Source organism: Homo sapiens, chromosome 1 (genome assembly GCF_000001405.40).
Source record: "Homo sapiens chromosome 1, GRCh38.p14 Primary Assembly".
Lineage (NCBI taxonomy): Eukaryota > Metazoa > Chordata > Mammalia > Primates > Hominidae > Homo > Homo sapiens.
Window position 1 is genome coordinate 34,469,500 of NC_000001.11, and position 25,762 is coordinate 34,495,261.

At 41.9% G+C, this 25,762-nt stretch overlaps 1 long non-coding RNA gene across 1 annotated transcript in view; it reads right to left on the reverse strand.

Moving 5' to 3' along the window:
* LOC105378641 (uncharacterized) overlaps nucleotides 1-25,762 on the reverse strand; it is a 227,461-nt gene that overhangs the window by 11,641 nt on the left and 190,058 nt on the right. The window contains exon 6 of the long non-coding RNA XR_001737964.2: nucleotides 282-487. This is a non-coding gene — a long non-coding RNA (uncharacterized LOC105378641). The remainder of the gene's footprint in view (nucleotides 1-281; nucleotides 488-25,762) is intronic.

The window sequence follows — 25,762 nt, forward strand, 5'->3', positions numbered from 1 at the left end:
CTCATCTTTAAGTTCAATGAATTAGCCAGAAGCCCTCTGGATAGCACAAGATCAAGCACATAAGCTTGGTGATCAAGATCTTTCTTGCCTTCCAAATCATCTTTTGCTGAATGTATCCAGAACCCATTTTTATTTGCTTAAATGAATGAAGCAAACTTCACCAATCCACTGAGCTCCTGGAGCATTTCTTCCCACACCTCTATCAGAGTATTTGTCAGCTTGCACTGTGATCTTTTGTTTGTTTGCAGGTACGAGTCCCCTAGGCAGGTGTGGGTGCATACCTTGAATGTCCAGCCTTCTTCCACATCTCTCAGCTTCCAGTGCCCAGCACTGTGACCCAGAGCAGGTGCCAGGAAACACTTGCTGAGTACATATACAGATGAATGAGTTTCCCCAGGATGAGACAGACACATTCGGGTGCCTTCTTTGGTAGTGATCCATTCTCTATATGCTGATGTTCATAGCCAGAGCCATGAAAGTAGTATTTCTGAAAAGAAAATCCAGGTTGGGATTCTTAAAATCATTTCTAAAAAGACCTTTACTTGGTGAAAGCATAATCCATTAATAATGTGTTTTACACTAAAGAGATAATGGGAACCTCCCACAGGGGGATTAAAGCATGACTAGAATTTAGGGTCAATACTCCTCCAAAATTGCTTCATCCCTCTGAGATGCAAACAGCAGGAAACACACCAGCCCTCCCCGGGCTGTCAGGAGGAGCACCAGACAGAGGGGAGGACTTAAGCCAGAGAAGAGGTAACATCCAGGAAAGTCCACTAACCATCTTCTTTATGATGGCCCCGCAGGACACTCCAGCTGGTCTCCCTTTGCTCTGACCAGCAACCAGGAATTTTCCAGTCTCTGGCCATGGACAGTGATACCTTTATTGGTAAAAGCAGGGGTTGTGGGGGTGGGGGTGGGGAAGGAGCTGGCTCTAGAATTTGGGGTTGTGCCTCTGCAGAACATAGCCGATACACCAGCCCCAGACACAGCTAAGTCCCCAACTCTCTCCCAATGACTGAAGGAGGCTCTGTCATTCCTGATTCATGGAGTCACTGAGTCTTCGGGTTGGAAAGACCTTAAAGGCCATGTTATGCTTGAGCACCTTTTGTGACAGGAGATTTACTACCTCCGGAGGCAGGCCAGTCCATCTTGGAGAGCTCTGGCAGTTGGAACACTCTCCCCTACGCTGAGCCCCAACTGAGCTCTGCTTTTCATCGGGGTCACCCCTTTAATCAGAGCACATCAACGGTGGCTTTGGGGAGCAGTCCCCCCAGGTGCAGAAAATAGAGGGAATGTTGTCTGTAGAGAATGTGAAAACAATAATAAAACAGACTAAAAGCCAGTCTGCTTTTTATTATTACCATCATTCTCTGGCAGCTCTAAACAATGTTAGTGATAAAATACTCCTCTTTAACAAAAGCTTTTGTTGGTCAAGTACTAAGTAATTGTTATGGTTACTGTCGCGTTTTAATAATAATAATAGATGTAATAAGCTTCCATTTGGCACATTTTTATTACTTATCCTTTAATGACATTGTATTCTACATGGGCACTAATTTGGAGAAGTCCCAGTTATACAACTGGCCCCAACACATGCAAACTCAGCTATAAATGCTCGTTTCAAGAGTAAATTCTTAAGATTTGAATCTCTTCCAGTTTGTTTCAAGCACAGTTCATGTCTCCGCCTCCTGTGGTACTTACATATCCCTGATTTTAAATGGCAAATTTGAAATAAGTATCATAATGGTGAAGACAAAAAAAAAAAAACAAAAACGGAAAATGAGTTACTTCAATTCTGACATTCTATGTGAGCCCTTGAAATTTTTATTTTTATTTTTAATTTAAAACAGTGAAACAGTGAGAACTGCATGGTACAATTATTTTTTGTTCAGTAAGTGTGATTTTTAGTTTATCTGTATTGAATTTGAATAATATCTTTAAAACTGAAATTCATCATTCTTTTTGAAGTGCTAATTGTTTTTTAACTGAAGAGTTAATCAGGAAAATAAAACTGTAATGTTATTATTTATTACTGCAACAGAATGCAGATATGTTTTCCCTTTTCTCAAAAGCTATACTAACATGATAAAAATATTAATCCATTACTTTTTTCTCATTTATTCTGCAATATTTGTTGTATTTTTTACTGGTATGATTATATGTGTTAAGTTTAACAAAAGAAAATTTTCACTGCCTGCTTTTCCTTTGTGGCCATTGGCATTTGTTTCATTTTACATTTATTACTGAGAAGAGCCTTGTTGGGCAGAGGAAGGGGTTGTTAAGAGTGATCCTCTCTAGATGTCAAATACACCAGGCGCTCCATCAATTCTAATCGCTTTCTCTGGGCACAGTCCCACTGTTTGAAAATCCCCATCACATCTCCCCTAGACTTTTCTAGGTTGATCATCCCGGTCCTCCCAAACATTTCTAATAAAACTGGTTTTGAGTCTTTCTGCCACCCTCACTGTAATGGCTATCATTTATCAAACGCTTACCGAGTGCCACATAATGTACATATTCTCATCTGATCTACAACCCTCTGAAGCAGACGTTGTTCTTCCCATTTTATGGCTGGGAATACCAAGGCTCAAAGGGATTAATTAACTTCCCCAAATCCTATAGCTGGTGTGCAACAGAGCTGAGATGGAAAGTTAGGTGTGTGTGACAGCAAAACCCTGTGCAACCCTGCCCCCACTCTCCACTCCCCAATACCCTCACCATGTGCACTGGGCTTGTCTGTCTTGCTCTTCCTTTGGTGGCTTCCAAGACTAAATACCACACACCCTCCACAAGCACAAAGGCTCAGCTTGGAGAGAGTTACCTCCTTCATTCCAGAAGCTGTACTTATACTAATGCTTCCTCTGAGCTCACTGGTTTCATGGGCAGCCACAGCAAATAGAATGGATCCCAGGAGGAGGTTGACTTGAGCCACAGGGGATGAGCATATGATATTTGGGACCCATCAGTTCTGAAAGGAAAGTGGGGGGTGGGGAGAGCAAACACTAAGATGGCAGAGGGGTTCCTCTAGCCTATCCCAGTGAAAGGTCAAAAATTCCCAAGCCTCAGGGACAGTGTCATGCACAAGCCCCCACCTGTAGAAATGTTCAGGGTCTCAAGAACCCTGGTCCAGGAAGAGGAATCGGGGGCAGAGCAGAGGTGACCAGCAAAGCAGGAGCAGAGCCCCGCCTTGGTAGGCAAGTCTGTGTGAATCAAGGGAGGATGGCCTGGGAAAAGGCTGGGTGACCCAGGAGGGATAGACTATCCCTGCTGGTCTGAGAACAGTGGTTGGGCTTTCATCACCGAGCCAGAGGACTAGGCTGAAGGATTCCAGATGCCCATGCCAGCCCCTTCTACCCAGCCCCTTGCAGAACGCTGGAGGAGATTCACCTGATGTGCCACCGCCCTGTGGGCCCTGTGGCTTCCTTAAAACCTCACTTCTATATGAAAACAGCAGAAAGCATCTTCCCAAGGCCAATTGCTAGAGAGCAGAGAGGTCTGGACAGCCTGCTAGGTATTTTCTGCCCCCATTATCCCTATATGAGGTGGGCAGACTGGGATGAGCAGATCCTTTCTGCTCGTCAGCTGGTGTGCAACAGAGCTGAGATGGAAAGTTAGGTATGTGTGACAGCAAAACCCTGTGGATGGACTCAAGTTTTGAATCAGCTTATTCTCTCATCCTGGGCTTGTGCTGACCTCCAATCCTACCTCTGCCTTTCAACTCTGAGCCACTGCACCCTAATTGTGAGCATCTGGGCTCAGAACAGGCCTGACATGAATCCTTGTTCAAGTTCACTTCATTCAGTCCAGCCATGGATCCAGGTAGTTGGGACTTTTAGGGTCCCACATAAGTGGTGTGCATGTACTCAGTCAATGGGGCCCTGGGAATCAGCTGGATTTTCCAGCTTCAGGCAACACCAAAATGTGGACTGATGTTGTCTCTTCAGGGAAGAACTTCATCCACTGGGGCCATACCCCAGGGAAAGGAACTAGCAGAACCAGGTAGGGGATAGGATCTCTGATGACCAGCTGGTGAATCAAAGGCATGTAGGAGCTCCAGCCCTTAAAGAGGATTCAAATGTTGGCCAAGTCTCCAGACAGAAGTCAATCCTATAACATATTCCAGTAAGTGGAGATGAGGGGGGTAGTTTGTGGGTAGGGAACAATGAGGATTTGTGAACAGCCAGGCCCTGCCTCCACACCCATTGGAGCCAGGCTTAGAGCCATGAGACTAGACTAGATTCACACTAGTGGAGATGGCCTTCTAACATGCAGACTTGGGCAGGGTCTGGAGGGGCTGAACCTAGGGGTATGCATCCTTGGGGATTCTGGTTGATCAAGATGAGGAAGGCATTGAGAGGTTTGAGCACTCCCAAACACTATTCAGCTTAAGAAATTGCATCTCGGCCAGGTGTGGTGGCTCACACTTGTAATTCCAGTATTTTGGGAAGCTGAGGTGGAAAGATTGCTTGAGTCCAGAAGTTCAAGGTCAGCCCTGGTGATAGTGAGACTCTGTCACTATCAAAAAAAAAAAAAAAAAAAAAAAGAAGAAGAAGAAGAAAAGAAATTGCATCTTGTCATCTATGGAGTCTGGCATAATGAATAAGCCAAGCATGGACTTTCCAGGCCTGACGTTGCATCTTGCTGGCAACGTCCCTCCCATCTCCTTTAGATTAAATGTGGGGAAATGAGAGTATAATGATAAACACTGATTAGCTGTAGCAGTGGCAGGGGAGATAAGTTTCTCTTGCTGTATTACTCTTCCTCCCTCCCTTCCCCTCTCCTCTCTCTCTCTCTCTTTTTCTCCTTCTCTCTCTCTCTGTCTCTCTCCCTCTCTGAAGAAGCACTGCTCTTTGTCCTAACCTATGGAATGGTGGGTTAATTGGCTTATAGAGCTGCTGAATATGGAACAGAGCCCTAATGGAGATTTAATCAAAGGAGACAGTTATGTCGAGTGGGGTGTAAAAGCCATTGAAGATGAATGGAGACGGGTACAATCTTCCCCCCAGAGTTATTCAGAGCAATTTTAATAAAGTGCAAGTTTAACTATGGAATGGATTGTGTGACCAAGTGTCATTTTGCTTCAGGGCACAGCAGGGCAGGCGAGGGAAGGAGAACTTTGAAAGTTGTTTGAAAAAGGTGGAGCCTTTCTGTGCCTCACAAAATGGGCATGGGGTCAAAGTTCAATGCTCCCCTCCCCCCGCCCAAGTCTACCTTTTGCCCAGTGGTCCAACTATGTGACTCATTTCAATGATGCTTCCTGCAGCCTCTGTAGCTTGTGGCCAGTGATCTTCGTGGTTAGACCTGAAGACTCTCCACGCCTAGGTCATAGCTATGCTTTGGACCCAACCATTTACTAGGATCTCTGTGTCTTCCCCTGACAACCTCGCAATTGTCCTACAGTTCTCAGTTTAGCTGTCACTCTGTTTGGGAAGACTTCCTTGAACCACTCTTTTCATTTCTCTAGTGACCTCTATGCCATGCGATTCCATAATTGTCTTTTTTGTATGTGCCTACCATAACTGCTAGACCGTGGCTTCCCTGAAGTGCACATATGTGTGTGCAAATACACGTATATGTATACATACTTCCCCCTCCCCGCTACACATTTATGACATCTGTTTACTGGGATTATCTTAGACAAGCTATTGTACAAATTGCTTCTTTACTCAGCAATGTGGTGTGGACATCTTTCCATATTAATGCATGTTGCTTTATAACAAGCTCTTTAACAGCTGTACTGTATTGCTTTGTATGGATATAACATAAATTATCTAACAAATCCTATACATTTTTCTGCTATCAGAAACATTACTGAAGGAGCATTCTTTTGCATATATATTTTTGAAAATTTATTTGATTAACTCCTTGATAAATTCCTAGAAGAAAAATTGTCGAGGTAAAAATTTTGATACATATTTTCAAGCTGCCCTCCAAAAAAGGAAAAATGTGTGCTAATGTACCCTTTCATGAATGCTGTCTGAGAGCGTCTGTTTCCTTATACCCTTTCTATCCATTGCTAATCATGTTCATTTTTGCCAGTCTGATGGGCAAGACCTGATGTTTCATTCTTGTTAGCTCTGACAATTTAATAATCCAAGAAAGGCCCCATCTCAGGAAATGATATAACTACATGTCTTGGCAGGGCCGTGAGATTCCAAAAGCCCGTGTTTGGGGAAGAAGAGCTTACTGAGACTCTTCTTACAGTAATCACCTAGGACAAGACAGCTGGCTCCCTGGAGGAAGAGGCTGGCAGCCCAAACCATTAAATCCAAGAGCTGGAGTCAAGTGGAGTCTGATTCATTTAATATTACATTCTAGGGGTCTGGGTGGGCTTTCTAGATGACTGCACTTTTTGGCATCTGATAAGTATCTGAGTCATAGATTTGAAAGGGGACTCTACGTTAGTGGGAGGGCTAGCAGAAGCAATATGCAGGTCAGGGAGATGGTATATCCTGTATATACAATGCAAGGTATATAAGAAAGAGACGCAAGGGGCTTGAACAATGGGGCTGGCTTCTAGGACTAGACAACAAGCCCTGGGGCAAAATTAGGAACAACGGAGCAGAACCGAGGGCAGTTAGACTCAAGGTGCAAGCTACTGAGGTGGCAGCCTGATGCCTCCCTGGGTACCCAGGGGCTAAATACCCCGTGCACTGGGCACACTGGATGTAAGGGCAACTGATTATTTGAAGACCTGACTGACTAGTGGACAAGGAACTCCTGATGGCCTTTAAGGCTGGGCTGGGCCCTCACTGGCTCAAGGACTGGGCAGGTGACACAGTAGGAGCAGGCACGGACTCTACTCTTGACAACTGGGTCTACCAAGTAGGAAGAAAGCATCTTCTGCCAGAAAACATCCAGATGATTCCTTCCAACCAAGTCCTTTTCTAGTCTTGAGGTGGGAGTGAGAGTGGGCACAGCAATGCTCAAAGGAATGACGTTGAGCTAATGCTATTTCTACATTGATTGGCATGAAGTCCAGGCCCTGTTTCCCACGTTACCAATGACCAAAGGAGACCTCAGTGAAATCCAAGAACAATGACTGACTCAGGGTTGAGCAGTGTTTGGCCCCCATGAGGCCCAAGCCAGCCCAGGGGTTCTGACAAAGCAGGCTGATGCTTGGGGCTAGATCCTGAAGGTGACTCCAAAACCACACTCATGAATCAAATCAAATAAAGCCCAAACAGTCCTTACACTTAAGGGGTAAATGTGGTTTTGGATCTTGAAGTTAAAAAACATGTGAGGAGACCAGGCACACTGGCTCACGCCTGTAATCCTAGCACTTTGGGAAGCCGAAGTGGGTGGATCACCTGAGGTGAGGAGTTTGAGATCAGCCTGGGCAATAGACCCCATCTCTACTAAAAATACAAAAATTAGCTAGGTGTAGTGGTGCGCACCTGTAGTCCCAGCTATTCGGGAGGCTGAAGCAGGAGAATCTCTTGAACCCCAAAGGCAAGGTTTACAGTGAGCCGAGATGGCGCCACTGCACTCTGGCCTGGGGGACAGAGTGAGACCCTGTCTCAAAAAACAAAAAAAAAAAATGTGAGGAGCTGAGCAAACAAAGATGCAGAGCAAAAGGTAAGAAACAGTGAGTTGATGCCAGCAGGTTAAGAACTTCTGCTGTCAACAAGGCCAGGATGCCCAGAGCACCCTGTTAAAGGTCCCGTGGGTGTGAGAGTGTGGGCTGGCCTCATTTAAAGGCTCAGACTCAGGCAGACGTTTGCTGCCATTTTTATCCTCAGTTGCTAGGGCTGTGAGTTGGCGGTCAGCTCTTGGCGTAACAGGAGAAGATGATGTGTAAGTTCACCGGCTATAGCATCACTTGCAGTGTTATCAGCTCTCCCCTTTGCTGCAGGTGTCAGAGCGACCATGGGTCTGTTGGGATGAAAATGTTTTCATCTGCCTTGGGAAAGGGCAGTGAAGATGCTCCCCAGAGAAATTTCCATCCTACTGCCTTATGTGCAGAAATGGACAGAGTAGTCACAGTATTGTCAGACGCTGGAATCTCAAAGACCTGCCTCCCAAAGGGTGGCTGACCTAGCTGGAGAGCAAGGCCTGGGGCATTTGAATGGAAGAAACAGAGTCACCCTCCACTCCAGAAAACCCACCTCACTCTCCCACACACATACCTAGAATCACGTTCCATGCTAATTGACTAGGGGCTGTCCCATGGATTCTAAATCTTGCCTTTGCCTCCAAGGGCTCCTTTATTTCATGTCCAAGTAGGTATTAAATCCAGGTCACTCACCAGATTTTCTTTCCGCCCAACAAACCAGGCTTAAGCATCATAGCCACAGTCACACAGCTCTTCACCATCCCTGTCTAAACACTGGCTACTAAAAAGCTCAGAGGCCCCATAGCACAATGGCTAAGAACATGAGCTTTCAGCTGAGCTACTTGGGTTCAAATCCTGGCTCTGCTGCTAGGAAGCTATACAGCCATGAATAAGCCACTGAACCTCCTTCTGTGTTCCTCTGGGCTCAGTTCCATAATCAGTAATATGTGGATAAGAGTACCAGTATTTCATAGGCTTGTGAGGATTAAGTAAGTTAGAATATTTAAAGCCCTTAAATAGTATCTCACACACAGTAAGTGCCATTTAACTGTTAACATTTGCTATTATTGTTCCCCCACATCACCTGGCCAATTATTATGACCCGGATTGCGTAAGTAGAAAAATCAGGAGACAGGAAAGCTATATCTTACTTATTTACTTTGACAAAAATAATTTACTCATTTTAATATACAACAGGGTTAATAACTGCGACTTGCTGAGTGCCTACTATGTGCCTAGCACTATATATTCCTGTGATCCTTATAGCAACCACGTGAAATCAGTGTTAGTATTGCCACTTTACAGATGCAGAAACTGAGACTCAGAGAGGTTAACTCCCCATCCTGAAGCCACATAGCTAGGAAACTGAAAAACTCAGATTTCAACCCATGTCTTGCTGACTGCAAACTTGCACACACTGTTGTTCTTTCAGATAATAGTTCAAAAGTGAAATAACAAGAGTCCTAGAAAAAGGCTGACTCCAGTCTGGGATTGTCTGGGCATTGTAGCAGCTTCTATTCTTTGTTGGTAATTGTCTGTTCCCTAGCTTCCCTGTAAGCCGCCCTACTTCCTGCTCCTTTGATGTTGGGCTGAGCCACGTGACTTGCTTTACCCAGTGGTGTCCCACTGGGGGGACTCACTCCACATCTGAGCAGAGCCTTTCAATGTGCTTTCTGGTTGAGCTCTTTCTCCCTTGAGCTTCTGCCCTCTGCCACAAGAACAGCATGCTGCATATGTGGGCTGCCCCTTCAGCTGGGGTCCTGGAATAAGAGAAGACCCATGGTGCTGAGCCAGGCCCAGCAGATCCCAGAAGAACCAAGGACAGCTCCTGCTGACCAGCAGCTCTCACATAATGGGAGCAGGAAATAAAGGCTCACTGTTGTAAGGCATTGAGATTTGGCAGGAGTGGGTGGAGGTTGTTGCCACAGGAAACGCTGGCTAATGCAGACATGGTCCCAGAGGCAGGAGATAGACCAGGCCTTCTCCACTCTGATGGAACAGAAGCAGGAAAGGATAATATGAGCTTGCTGCATTGCAAAATAGTAATGCATTTGGCTGTAAAGGTGGGCTTTCTACTGCCCAATGCATTTTTATACATAATTGATGATCAATATATATTCTCTAAATTGAAATCAGAATAATGAAGCCACAGAGGACTCAGGAGTGAAAGGAGGGAGAAAGTGGCCAAGGTCTTTTGAGTTTTTCTTCCCTGTTGGGTGGTTCCAGCAGATGCAGAGAACAAGCTGAAGTCAAAAGTGTAGTAGAATGAATCTGTAGACAGGGATTTCCTGAAGGGAGAAAAGAGGGAGAAGCCACCAGCACCCGTGCAGTCCTATAGATGTGGCTCCCGTGGTGTTCTGAAAGGTCTTAGGGTAAATGGGACCTTGCCAAGTGACAGATAAGTGTGAAGCTCCCAGTTACCCAGCAAGAGCAGAAGCCAAACGCAGGTCCCCTGAAGTCTGGCTTGGGACCCCTTTCACCAAGACAAAGTGACCAGCAAATACAGCATTTGACTAAAACTTGGACATTTAGCAGAGGAAGGGGTGGCACAAATCAGCCTTATGGAGACCTCTGTGTGCACTGGGTGCTGGAGTGATTCCTTTTACACTGTATTGTGCACACGGTGCTCAGCAGAGTCTTTTGAGATTGAGCTGATGGTGCCAAGGAAGGTAACTGGTGCCCAATCTCATGCCCAAGGCCACCCTGGAGCTCTCCACAACCCCGTATGTTTCTGCCCTTCACACTTCCAGGGATAGGTGGCTCCAGCCTTCAGAGAGTGTGGTCTCTGAGAGGGAGAGGAGAGGAAGGAAATGCTGGGGCCACTTCATTAGGCTTCTCTTATTGGTCTTTGGCCAGCCGAGATCCAGGAAAAGGCTGCAACACCGGCTGAGGTGTTTCCATGGCAACAGCGGGCAGCACGCTCTTCAGGCATCAGTTAGTGCAGGCAGAGGGGAGAAGGGGTTGGGGGGATGGGAGGGGCAATGCAGGAGGAGGAGGGAGTGGGGGAGAAATCAGGAGGGGGGAAAGAAAGGAAGATGGAAGGGAGAGAGTAAAAGAAGGAAAGGGAGAGGAAAACTCAGTGGAAGGGGAGGGGGAACAAAAGGACAAGGGGGAGGAAAGCAGAAGGCAGAGGAAGGGGAGAAGGAAGGCAGGAAGAGGGAAAGAGATGAGAGAGGAATCAGAGGAGGCATGGGGAGAGGAAGAAATGGAGGGAAGGGAGCAAGAGGAATAAGGAAGGAGAAAAGCAAAAGGAGAACCACTTGTACCCTACTTCACGCTCCAGAGGCAAGAGTGCCCATGCCTAGCTGACTGCAAACTTGCACACACTGTTGTTCTTTCAGATAATAGTTCATTTCAGATAATAGTCCCTTGCTTGGGACACCAAGAGTCACCTTCCCACCCCCATTCCCCCACCCCCCAACACACACTGCTCCACCAGCAGCCCCAGAAGAAAGACCTGGGCTCCAGCCAAGCTTTACCTTTTAGGAGTTATGAGGTGGAACAGCAAGAAGTTTCAAGAATGAGTTTTGGTATCTGACAGATTCTGCCTCTAGCCACCTGAGCTTGGGCAAATCACTTAACTTCTCCAAACTTTAGTTTTCTCATCTAAAAATAAGTGGACCCAGGGATGCAGCTTTATTTCAGGGTTCTCTAACCTGTTCCATTAGTCTATGTCTGTTTTTGTACCAGTACCATGCTGTGTTGGTTACCGTAGCTTAGCAGTATAGTTTGAAGTCGGGTTATGTGATGCCTCTGACTTTGTTCTTTTTGCTTAGGATCGCTTTGGCTATTCGAGCCCTTTTTTGGTTCCATATGAATTTTATAATAATGTAAAAATGACACTGGTATAATAGCTTGATAGGAATATTACCAAATCTGTAGATTGCTTTGAGCAATATGGACATTTTAATGATATTGATTCTTCTGATCCATGAGCATGGAATGTTTTTCCATTTGTTTGTGTGATCTATGATTTCTTTCAGCAGTGTTTTGTGGTTCTCCTTGTAGAGATCATCACAGCACTATTTACAACAGCAAAGACATGAAATCAACCTAGGTGCCCACTAACAGTGGGTTGGATTAGGAAAATGTGGCAAATATACACCATGGAATACCACACAGCCCTAAAAAAGAATGCAGTCATGTCCTCTGCAGCAACATGGATGGAGCTGGAGACCATTAAACTGAGTGGATTAATGCAGAAACAGAAAACCAAATACCAACACTTCATGTTCTCATTCATAAGTGGGAGCTAAACATTAGATACACAGGGTCATACATACAGGAACAATTAACACTGGAGACTACAAGAGAAGGGTGGGAGACAGGGAGAAAGGGTTTGAAAAACTAATTATTGGGTATGATGTTCACTACCTGGGCAATGTTGAGTTGTACCCCAAACCTAAGCATCCTACAATATACCCTTGTAACAAGCCTGAATATGTACCCTTGAATCTAAAATACAAGTTGAAATTAATAAAAATAAATAAATAAATATATTTTTAAATGGAGAAAATAGCTATCACGCAATTGTGTAACTAAATGAGATGATAAATGTAAGGGCCTTAGCATGATGTCTGTCACATGGCAAGCCCTTAATTTAAAATTTTTATTTTTTTTTAATGTGTGATTTGGTCATCATTTAACCTCTCCAAGCTTCCATTTCCTCGTCTGTAAAACAGAGATATCCCCACCTCCGAGGATTTTTTAAATTATTATTATAAGTATTCAATAATTGCTAGCTATAAAAAATTTACCTCAATAATAAGAATAAACTTTATTTAGTACGTGATACTCTTTTCAAAGCACATTCTCCATCATCACTTCATTTGACACCTAAAGCAATTGTGTGCAGCAGACAAGGCAGTATTATTTTCCTTATTGTACTTGTGGTTTAGCTTTCAGCCCTGTGCTGAGAGCTTCACATCCATTTACCTCATCAAGTTCTGAAAACAACCTTCAACCTAGGTTTCATCCTTATTCCACAGCTGAGAAAGCCCAGGCACCAAGAGGTGAAGGGATCTGCCTGCTACTTGCTAGTAGGTGCTGGAACATGGATGCAGGACGGCAGGTGGAGGTAGCACCACTAATATGATTCAACTCATTTTTTCCCCCAAACCAACACTTCTGATTTGTGCTGTGACTTGCTCAGAATAAAGGGAAGAAGCCTTGAAACTTTGAGGAACCTCAACCACGTAAGACAATGCCCAGGACAGGCACGGCCAACCCTAGCCACTGGGCAGACTTCTTGGGGTTGCCTGACTCAGGGATCCCCAACAATTCAGTCCAGAGCCCAGAACGGAGTGAACACACTGAAAGAAAAAAATCACAGACTGAAGTCGCCAGTCCAGGCCAGACAAGCAACAGCAAATCTTTCTCTATGGGTCCGCAAAGGGCCTCACCCAGGGCCACAGAAGGAGGAAACCAGGCAAGCTAGATTTGTGTTCCTGTTTTGTTTTTCAAAGAGGCAGATTGAAGATACTCCACTCCTCTTCTGATAAAACTTAAAATATCTTTGAGTTTGTTTTAAGAAATTATGTGTGTGTGTGTGTGTGTGATTTTGAGAGACAGAAAGAGAGCGAGAGTGAAACTGGGGACAAGAGAGAAAAGGAATGAGGAGGATGAAGAACAGAAGTAGAGAGAGACACACACCATAGAAAGACAGAAAGCAGATGGCAAAAGACACAAGAAGGGAGGAAGACGATGCCAGAGGACAAGGGAAAGAAAAAAAAGAGATGCAGAAAAGAAGCAGCGGGCAGATGAATAGACAGACAGGAAAGCTTCAGAGACAGACGGAGAGGGAAGCAGGGAAACGCAGTGGTAAAAAGGCAGAGACAGCAGAAAGCAACGAATGAAACCTCCTTTCCCTGTTGTCAAAGAGAAATAACATGTGAACTCCATGAGTGAGGAGATACACATGGCTATGAAAATGCAACATTGGCATTTGCAAAGCTAGAAAAAGAAACCTCTCTCTCCCTCTCTCTCTCTCTCTCTCTCTCTCTTTCCACCTTCCTGCTCTTCTACTCCTTTTGGGGAGGGAAGGCTGAATCAGCTCTCTACAGTCTAAAAAGACTATGCTCAGCCAGCATTGTTTGTGATAAAGGTGTTCTAAATCAGAGCTAAAATTTGGCAGCACAAATGTTCTAGAAATCCTCATCTCATTGTGAAAGTAAAGAAACCTTAATTTTATATTCTGAGAATTGGAATCATCCCATCTCATCTCTCAAGGAAAAGGGTTTTTTATATTCACAAAACACTCCTATGCTACTAACCATTTAAAATATCAGTGTATTTTTACCATGGTGGCCCTGCTTCTGCTATGACCTCAGTTGGGGGGTGGATTCCATGTTTATTCAATAGGCATTAATTAGAAACCTCCCAGGTGCAGGACCTGGACTGAGCTGAGCGGAATGCTCTGTGGAAACAGTAGGCCTTGTGTTGGCTACATGTTGTGTAACCATATCCTAGGCAAGGGTTGGATCGATATCCCACCTCGCAGCACACCAACATGGCACATGTATACATATGTAACAGACCTGCACGTTGTGCACATGTACCCTAAAACTTAAAGTATAATAATAAAAAAAATCCCACCTCTCTCCAGAGAACTTGCCCCAACGCAGCCTTGCTTGTGTTCTCTAATTGTCCCTAAGGTCAGCCTGAGAGGTAAGCTCCTTCAGGGTAAAATGGGGCCTGGACCCAGGGCAAGCCTGTCCACTTGTCCTGATTCTTCAGTCAGTGGTAAAAGCAGGCATACTCTGAGGCCCTGGCACAAGCTCTGTTATTGTGCCCAGTTCTGCTGGGGTCAAAGTGGCTGTAGCAGATAGGGGGAGGGAAGAACAATTTCTGGAAGGAGGCTTAATCTGCATTGACACTGCACAGAGTGCTTTAACTTCACAGAGGTCACCAAAGGTGCCCCTCCCACCCTGGAGGTCCTCTGCATTCAGTGCCCTTATACACAGCTCTGGCTTCCTGAACCTTTCTGCCCAAAGACGTGCTCTGGAGACTGGAGAGAAAACGCCTGGGAGAGAAACCCCTAAGCAATGAAACACAGAAGTGGATGAATAAATAACCCAGCTTCATCAACCCTCACTTGGAAAATTCCATAGTAGGTTCTACATAGTTTCTCAGAGAGTCCCCAGTAAGACAGAGCCATGTTCCCCACAGTGTAACCTCCTCCTCAAGGCACCACCCTTTATGACTTTTGCTTCTTCCATTGTCTCTTTCTTTCACTTCTTCACCATCCTAGTTGGTATCAAAACAAAATAAAATTCTTGGACCTAAATCCTTGTTTCAGAAGGAGCCCAAACCAAGGCACCCTTACCTTAGCTCATTTGGCCCTCACAGCAGCCCTTTAGAGGTAAGTTTCATTACTCTTATTCTCAATGAATGAGAATTCGTTCTTCAAGCACCTACTCTGTGAAGGACTGGGCACTGGGAATACATCCATGGCCCCTTCCATGTAAGGAAGAGTTTATATTCTAGACTGAAGGAAGATGCTAAGCAATAATCACATAAATAAATAATAAAGTTATTATTGTGGCAATTGCTGTAAGTGAAAGGTACCTGGGGCTTTCAGTATGTAAAATAGGCAAATATGACCCAGTCGAGGGGGTCAGGGAAATGACACTTCAGTTTAGATCAGAAGAAAGGGTGGAATATAACTATGGAAGATGGAAAGGAAAAATATTTAGCAATAAGAACAATTTGAATAATAATGAAACTAGGGCAAACAGAGATTAAGGTTACACACATACTAAGTGGTTGAAAGAGGGTTTGATTTCAGATTTACCTGACTCTAGTGTCCAAGCTCTTTATGTTATACTCAACAGTTGGAATGGAGATGGTTGTGTAGGAGTAGAGGGTGACTTGTTACTCTCACTATTCATATTATGAAAGGATTAACAACAAGATTCCTGTAAATAGAAAACTCCCATAGGGCATTTAACAACTAAGTCAATCACAAAAGAAATCACAAATAGCAAATTCTGTAAAATTTGCAAATTTATATAAATGCATCTGTTAGGTATGAAGAGGGAGTAGCTGAAACTGTGCAAAGTGGATGTTCTGAAATGACTGAGAGGTTAGACATCTTCCCGAGCCCATTTCATGGCATCTAGCGACAAGGTAGCATCAGTCTTTGCATGAAGATCTGGGCAGAAGAGTGGTGTTTTCTTACATAACTGATACATAGGAAGTGAGTGATCTCTGGGTGTCCAGGGTCATAGGTCTTCCTTCCATCTCTAAGCAGAGACTCAAAAAGGGAATATAATACTTTGCAATGGGGAGAGAGGGACAGTCATTTTTCTTTCTGGTTAGTATGTAAAAGACCTATATTCCCATGATAACAAGAAAAAAAACAAACAAATAACAAATTATGCAACTATCAAAGAGCAGTAGATGCAAGGAAGTCTTGATAAACTGAATTCCAGAGAGGAGTAAGTCCTTCATAGGTGAGCAGAAAGTAATGGTGGCTTCCATACCTGAAAGCAAAGACCACATCTTGATGAAAGTGGATGGAGCCGGCACAGTGGCCCACACCTGTAATCTCAGCAACTCACATGGCTTAGGCAGGTGAATCTCTCTAGCCTAGGAGTTACAAGGTGCATTGAGCTATGATTGAGCCACTGCACTCTAGCCTGGTTGACAGAGCAAGACCCTAACTCTATTTTTTATAAAAGAAAGAAAGTGGATGGAGAATCAGGTCTGCCATAGACAGAGAGAATTTTTAAGAGTAGGAGAAACCAGCCAAGATTCAAATGTCAATGTGATAAGGCAGGAAATATTGGAATCTAGAGGAGTTCCAAACCAAAGATAAATCACTTGGCCACATTCTGAAATTTTGCTGAATAGTTAGCAGAGGAAATACAGCTGGAAAGTAGAGAAGTTTGTGAAGACTTGTGATTCTTGAATTTTGGGGCCGTGCTGGAGGATAATCCCTGGTCAAATCATCAAGTATCAAAGAGATCACTCCCTTGGAAGGTAACAAATTCAGATAAAAGGCAAAGAGACGTTCTGGGTCCTATTTGAAACCAGAAGTGAACTCAATATAATTAAAGCTGTGTCCTGGCTTCAGCTGAATTTAATTCTTAATGAAATATGAATTTCACCTGACAGAGAAAATGACTTGTGCCCTCTGCAAAATTATTTCATTAATTTAATCAATCAATCCATCAAAAAACCCACAAAATGTATACTTAAACAGTAAAAAATTACAAGACATGAAAATGTGATCAACAATCAAGAGAAAAACAACCAATAGAAGGAGACTCACAGAATATCAATATATCACAGTTGTCAATCAAGTGTTAAAATAACTATTATGAACACATCAGAAAATTTGCAGAAAAAAAGATGAATAGAATGCATGAAGTAAAATAAAACAGCAAGAAAGAAATAAAAATTATTATTATTTTGAGACAGGATCTCACTTTGTTGCCTAGGCTGGAGTCCAGTGGCAGGTTCATGGCTCACTGCAGCCTTGACCTCCCCAGGCTCGGGTGATCCTCCCACCTCAGCCTCCCGAGTAGCTGGGACTACAGGCATGTGCCATCATGCCCTGCTATTTTGTGTGTATGCCTGTGTGTGTGTGTGCATGTGTGTGTCTTTTGTAGAGACAGGGTTTTGCTGTGTTGCCCAGGATGGGTAAATTATTTAAACATTTAAAAGAACCAAATGAAAATTGGATATCTGAAAATTTACTTATTTGAAATTTAAAAGTTAATTTACAGGCTTAACATCAGATTCAGCACAATGAAGAAAGGAATAGTAAACTTAAAATCAAGTCAGTTGAGATTATCCAAACTGAAACAGGGAAAGAAAATGGCTGAACAGAACATCAGCTACATGTTAAGATAATATAAAATAATTTAACACATACATAAGTGTAGTCTCAGAAGGGGAGATGAAAAAGAACAGTTATTTTTTTAAATGTATGAAAAGGCATAATGTCTAAATTTTTTCAAATTTTATTTTGAAAAATTAATCCAGAGATCCAAGAAGCTCTGCAAATCCCAGACAGGATGAATATAATAAAAACCACACCTAAGTATCTCACAGTGAAAAGAAAAAGAAAATATTTAAAGCAGCTAGAGAACACACACACACACACACACACACACACACACACACACACACACACATTTTTGCTGACTTTTCATCAGAAACAATGAAATCCAGAAGAAAATGGAATGACCTCTTTTAATTGCTACACAGGAGAAAAAAAGCAACAACAACCTGTCAAACTAGAATAGTATACGTAGAGATAACATCCTCCAAAACTAAAGGTGAAATAAAGACATTTTTAAGAGCAATTATAACAGACAGAAATTTAAAATTAAGAGTTTAGGAAAAACAAAATATGTGGATAAAGTTAAGATCCTGTTTTTTATTGTATTAATTTCTTTAAGCATTAATATAGGAGCTCTCTCTTCTGTCCATCCTTCATATATGCTGAGCTACCTGAAAAATACAACCAAGTTATTTTCCTATTTTAAACTCTTCTATGGTTCACTATCATCTACAAAATGAAGTCTTAAAGTCCTAAATTTTTACCATGAATTCAAAACTCTTCATTCTGAGCTTCATTTTATTTTTTCATACTCATCTCTGGCCACCACCTCTGGTACACACACACACACACACACACACACACACATGCACACGTACACAGAACTTTCACCCTAGACAGACTAAAATATTTGAAATTACCTATCTATGCCAGGTTCCCCAGGCCACCAAGCCCTTGAATATGCTGTTCTCTATGTTTAGCATGCCCTATCACAATCTTTTAATTTGACACACTTCTGAACTTTCTGCAAAACAAAGCCAAAGGATCACACTACAATGGGGATTTGTCATTATTTGGGCTGATTAGATCTTTGAACATCTGTACTATGTTTGGAGAGTTACTCATCTTCTAAATCCTTTAGTAGAAGCCAGATTTTCCCCAGCCTCTCTTGCAGCTAAGATACTAAGATGTGACTGAGGCTTCAATAATCAGATACATCCAACTAGGCTTTGAATAAGAAGCTTGTGACTTGTAGAATAAAGCATTGTGTAGAATTTAGTGGCAGCAACTAAATTCAATTGCAAAAGACATCAGCAGCAAGAAGCCTAATGGCAGTGTCTAATGCTTGGCATCAGCAGAGTTGGTCATGAGTGACTGCATCCACAACCAGTTGGACAGCCATGTGACTCAACTGAACTAGCTTTGCAGCACAATTTTGGGTGTTGCCTCTGAATGCATACTCTCTAGGCCCTCCTAGAGGCTCTTCATGCTTTCTAATACCTCTTCTAAATTCTTCTTCTGTTTAACTAGCTGAGGCTGATTTATGTTTTTTGTGATTATAAGCTCTGACTGATACACCCTCCCTGCCCTGAAATCTTCCCACATCTCCACCTTCCTGCCATCTTTCACCAACCATCCCTTCTATACACACATATGCAGAATATTCACTCCCAATTCTTGAATTGCATAGCATGCTGTGCTGCCTCATCTTCCAGGGACATTATGGTCTACTGTGGTTGTTTGTTTATGTGTCTCCTAATTAGGTTGTGAACTAGTTGAGGGCAAGGTTATAGTCTCATTCATTACTGTCCTTTCACAAAGTGCTTAGCAGGGTACCTGAGCTTGCACAGAAGAGATGCTCTGGAGGTACTGATTGATTACATGTACACTGAAGGCAATTTCTCCATATAACTGCAGTGGAAAAAAATGTAAAACCACTTTTTCTCAAAATTCACCTCAAGAATGAGTCCACAGGACCTGAACTCAGCTCTGGATAAAGTGGATCTAATAGATATCTACAGAACTCTCCACCCAAATTCAACAGGACATACATTCTTATCATCATCACATGGCAGTTACTCTAAAATTGAACACATAATTGGAAATAAAACACACCTCAGCAAATGCAAAAGAACTGAAATCATAACAGTCTCTCATACTACAGTGCAATCAAATTAAAACTCGAGATTAAGAAATTCACTCAAAACCACACAACTACATGGAAAATGAACAACCTGCTTCTGAATGGCTTTTGAGTAAATAAAGAAATTAAGACAGAAATCAAGAAGTTTTTTGAAACTAATGAGAACAAAGAGACAATGCAAAAGAATCTCCGGGATGCAGCTAAAGCAGTGTTAACAGGGAAATTTATAGCACTAAAATACCCATATCAAAAAGCTAGAAAGAACTCAAGTTAACAACCTAACATCTCAACTAAAAGAACTAGAGAACCAAGAGCAAACAAACTCAAAAGCTAGCCGAAGATGAGAAATAACCAAGATCAGAGCTGAACTAAAGGAGATAGAGACACAAAAAACACTTCAAAAAATAAATGAATCCAGGAGCTGGTTTTTTGAAAAAAAAAATGTAATAGACCACTAGCTAAATTAATAAAGAAGAAAAGAGAGAAGATTCGAATAAACACAATCAGAAGTGATAAGGGGTATATCACAACTAACCCCACAGAAATACAAACTTCCATCAGAGAATACTATAAACACCTCTATGCACATAAACTAGAAAATCTGTAAGAAATGGATAAATTCCTGAACACATACACCCTCCCAAGGCTGAACCAGGAAGAAACTAAATCCCTGAATAGACCAATAATGAGTTCTGAAATTGAGGCAGTAATAAATAGCCTACCAACCAAAAAAAAAAAAAAAAAGCCCAGGACCAGACAGCTTCACTGCTGAATTCTACCAGAGGTACAAAAGAGAGTTGATACCATTTCTACTGAAACTATTCCAAAAAGTTGAAAAGGAGAGACTCCTCCCTAACTCATTCCATGAGGCCAGCATCATCCTGATACCAAAACCTGGCAGAGATACAACAAAAAAAGAAAACTGAGGCCAATATCTTTGACAACTATCAGTGCAAAAAATCCTCAGTAAAATACTGGCAAACCAAATCCAGCAGCACATCAAAAAACTTATCCACCATGATCAAGTCAGCTTCATCCCTGGGATACAAGGTTGGTTCAACATACACAAATCAATAAACGTGATTAATCACATAAACAAAACTAAAGACAAAAACCACATGGTTATCTCAATAGATGCAGAAAAGGTCTTTGATAAAAATCCAACATCCCTTCATATTAAAAACTCTCAATAAACTAGGTATTGAAGGAACATACCTCAAAATAATAAGAGCTGTCTATGACAAACCCACAGCCAATATCATACTGAATGGGCAAGAGCTGGAAGCATTCCCCTTGAAAATAAGACAAGGATTCTTCTCTCACCACTCCTATTCAACCTAGAAAGTTCTGGCCAGGGCAATCAGGCAAGAAAAAGAAGTAAAGCGTGTTCAAATAAGAAGAGAGGAAGTCAAATTATCTTTGTTTACAGGTGAACTGATCCTATATCTAGAAAACACCATTATCTCAGCCCAAAAGCTTTTTAAGCTGATAAGCAATATAAGCAAAGTCTCAGGACATAAAATCAATATGCAAAAATCACTAACATTCCTAGACACTGACAACAGGAGTGCAGAGAGCCAAATCATGAATCAACTCCCATTCACAATTGCTACAAAAAGAATAAAATACCTAGGAATACAGCTAACAAGGGAAGTGAAAGACCTTTTCAAGGACAGCAACAAACCACTGCTCAAAGAAATCAGAGAGGACACAAACAAATGGAAAAACATTTCATGCTCATGGATAGGAAGAATCAATGCTGTGAAAATGGCCATGCTGCCCAATGTAATTTACAGAATCAATGCTATTCCCATTGAACTACCATTGATATTCTTTACAGAATTAGAAAAAAACTATTTTAAAATTCATATGCAACCAAAAAAGAGCCAAGAAAGTCCTAAGCAAAAAGAACAAAGCTGGAGACATCATGCTACCTGACTTCAAACTATACTACAGGGCTACAGTAAGCAAAACAGCATGATACTGGTACAAGAACAGACATATAGAACAATGGAACAGAAGAGAGAACTTGGAAATAAGACCACACACCTATAACCATCTGATCTGCGACAAACTTGACAAAAACAAGCAATGGGGAAAGTGATTCTTTCTTTCTTTTTTTTTTTTTTTTTTGAGATGGAATCTTGCTCTGTTGCCCAGGCTAGAGTGCAGTGGCACAATCTGGGATCACTGCAAGCTTTGCCTCCTGGGTTCATGCCATTCTCCTGCCTCAGCCTCCTGAGTAGCTGGGACTACAAGCACCCACCACCATGCCCGGCTAATTTTTTTGTATTTTTAGTAGAGACGGGGTTTCTCGGTGTTAGCCAGGATGGTCTCCATTTCCTGACCTGGTGATCTGCCTGCCTCGGCCTCCCAAAGTGCTGGGATTACAGGCATGAGCCACCATGCCAGGCCATGATTCCTATTTATTAAATAATAAATGGTGGTGGGAGTGCCATATGCAGAAAATTGAAACTGGACCCCTTCCTTACACCATATACAAAATTAACTCAAGAGGGATTATAGACTTAAATGTAAAACACAAATCTATAAAAACCCTAGAAGAAAATCTAAGCAATGTCATTCAGGACATAAGCACAGGCAAAGATTTCATGACAAAAACACCAAAAGCAATAGCAACGAAAGCAAAAATTGATGAATGGGATCTAATTAAACTAAAGAGCTTCCACATAGCAAGAGAAGCTATCATCAAAGTGAATAGACAACCTACAAAATGGGAGAAAAATTTTGCAATCCATCCATCTGACAAAGGTCTGATATCCAGAGTCTACAAGGAACTTAAACAAATTTACAAGAAAAAAAAACCCATTAAAAAGTGGGCAAAGGACATGAACAGACACTTTTCAAAAGACATACATACAGCCAACGAACATATGAAAACAAGCTCAACCTCACTGATCATTAGAGAAATGCATATCAAAACCACAATGAGATACCATCTCATGCCAGTCAGAATGACTATTATTAAAAAGTCAAAAAACAACAGATGCTGGCAAGGTTGCAGAAAAAAAAGGAATGTTTTACACTGTTGGTGAGAGTGTAAATTTGTTCAACCATTGTAGAAGACAGTGTGGCGATTCCTCAAAGACCTAGAGGCAGAAACACCCATTTGACCCAGGAATTCCATTACTGGGTATATACTCAAAGGAATAGAAATCATTCTATTATAAACATACATGTACATATATGTTCATTGCAACACTATTCACAATAGCAAAGACATGGAATCAACCTAAATACCCATCAGTGATAGACTGGATAAAGAAAATGTGGTACATATACACCATGGAATACTATGCAGCCATAAAAAGGGGCAAGATCATGTTTTTTGCAGGGGCATGGATGGAGTTGGAAGCCATTATCCTCAGCAAACTAACACAGGAACAGAAAACCAAACACCGCATGTTCTCATAAGTGGGAGCTGAATGATGAGAACACTTGGATGCATGCAGCGGGGACAACACACACTGGGGTCTGTTGGGGATGGGGGGAAGGAGAGCATCAAGAAGAATAGGTAATGGATGCTGGGCTTCATACATAGGTAATGGGATGATCTGTGCAGCAAACCACCATGGCACACGTTTACCTATGTAACACACCTGCACATCCTGCACATGTACCCCTGAACTTAAAAGCTGATGAAAAAAGAATGGGTCCAACAGAATCAATCTCTTCTCTCTTTCTAATAGGATCGTGAGGCTGGTACAACAAAGGAGTGTGTAGACAGTTGTAACTCAACAAGGCATGTGACAAGGTCACTGATGCTATCCTTAAGTACAGGTTTACCTGAGGATAGTGCATCAGTAAGTAGCTGTGTTAATGTAAGGATCTTCCTACTGCACTCAATGTAGTCCTGTCCTGCCCAGAATTTTTGGATGGCCCAGAAGGCATTATGAATCTACGCATGCAAGACAGAAATTAGGACCACTATTTTATGGATAAAGGTGTAGTGGCATACTGGTTAATGCTTAACAGCTGGCTTTTCAGAAGGAGAAAAGCTCATATTTGTAGCATTTGCCAATTTCCATGTTATGTTGTACATACCCCTACCATAACTCATTTCAAGATGCCAGTGTAACAGCTCTGAATGTGGAGTTGGGAAGAGACTGGCACAACATTATGTAGAATTTTTACCATACAGATACAACAGACATAAATAAATAACTACAAGAGCATAGATGATAGTAAAACATACTAAAATAATTAGAAATTGATGAGTTTTGAGTATTTGTTACTTTTGTTTACAAATATAATTATTATAAACTTATATAATTAATTTTTAGTTGTCTGTCTTTAATAATCAACTTAAGGGATTCCTAAAAATGTAATGGTAGACTTGAGTGAGCTAGCATGAGCTGGCTTAGTGTACCACTAATTCTGTGCCAACTCTGTGACCTCATCCAGTCTTTACAACCTCGGTCTGATGCATTAGGAAAGGTACAAAAGAAAGAAAACCAGAGGATTGTAAGTAGATGAGAAACTTGTCTAAGATCATGTGGCTAATTTCTGGTCACACTCGGACAAATATAAAATTTGGGGATGCCTACCACATGTCAGGCACTGTGATAAGCATTTTGCAAAGACTCATTTAATTCTCACTATGGAATAGGTTCTATAATTATTCCCCCTTTTTAGATTAAAATAAGAAATAAATAACTGGAGAGAGGCTAAGTAATTTGCCCAGTGGCACACAACCAGGAGTACTGGAGCCAAGACTCAAACCCAGGCAGCCTGGTATCAAAGCTTGTGCTCATATCTATTATCTCTAGTGCCTCAGGTTTACTGACTTTGCAAGACACCATCACCCACTTCATGTTTAAATGGGGACTAAAGAACCCACTTACTTCCACATGCTTAACTTCACACTGTGCATTTTGGATCATTCCATGTCTTTTGCTAAAAACTCGAGGACCAGGCTTTGTAAGTTAGTTTTACAATGGAGAGGAGATATTCTCTCAAGCCACCGTAATCCCTTAGCAACCAATGGCCTTTACTTTCAAAGGGATCAGAACTGGGAACTAGAATGGAATCTAGAGACATGAGATAAGTTCTTTGCTTCATGGAACTGAACTTTATAACACATGATATTTATTCATTATCTGATGTCCTTAATGAATTTATTCTGTCATCAAATATTTGAATGAAAGACTCACTGTGTGCCAGGTAATGTGTGAAGTTTCAAGGGTCACTTATTCTATCAGACAACATTAAAACAGTTCCTAGGATTCATGAGCTTTTCAAGTGGTCATGGGAATATTTGAGACTGAAAATAGTCATCATCTCCAAAATACAAAGACTGCAAAATTAAATTTAAAAAATCTACTTGAATGTCTACAAAGTACAACCTTATATCAACCAGTTAAATACCTTTCAACACAACTCTTATAGGGTTATATATAAATTACACAGTCTTTCCTTGGTATCTGTGGGGAATTAGTTCCAGCACCTCCCTGGGATACCAGAATCTGAAGATACTCAAGTCCCTTATATAAAATGTTGTAGTATCTGCATATAACCTACATATATCCTCCTCTGCACTTTGAATCATCTCTAGATTACTTATAATATCTAATGCAATGTAAATGCTCTGTAAATGGTTTATAATTTATTGTTTAGGGAATAATAATAAGAAAAAAAGTCTGTAAGTGTTCAGTACAGACACAACCATCTAGTTTTAAAAAAATGTTTTAAATCTTTGGTTGGTTGAATCCAGAAATGCAAAACCCATGGATATGGAGGCCTGACTGTATATTTAGTATGGCAGTGGTATTATAGTGTGTTTTATTTTTTAATAAGACAGCCCTCTAAAACTGAGTACCTAAGGCCTGTGAAGGTTATGAAACAACCTAGGGAAACAAAGATGCACAAGACATAACTTCTGGCTTCAAGGGAGCCTAATCTTATGTTTTTCTGTTTACTTGTCTATTTTTATGTTGTAATCATGAGCTCCTGGAAGGCAAGGATTTGCCCTGTGTTTTCTTGTTAAACTTCATATTCCCTGCACCTGGAGCAGGGTTGCGTTCAGAATAGTATCTAACGTGTTGACTAGACAAACACAATCAGATTAGTGCTGTGATCTACACTCTAAATTTTGAGCAATCCACAAAAACACAGAAGACAATTTCTTGTATCCTCTTGTATGCACACGCCCCGCACACACACCTCCTCCATTTCTTACCCACTAAATTTCAAAATGGATGGAAGGAAACAAGAAAATCAACATTGGCAACAGTAGCTACAAAGCACCAGC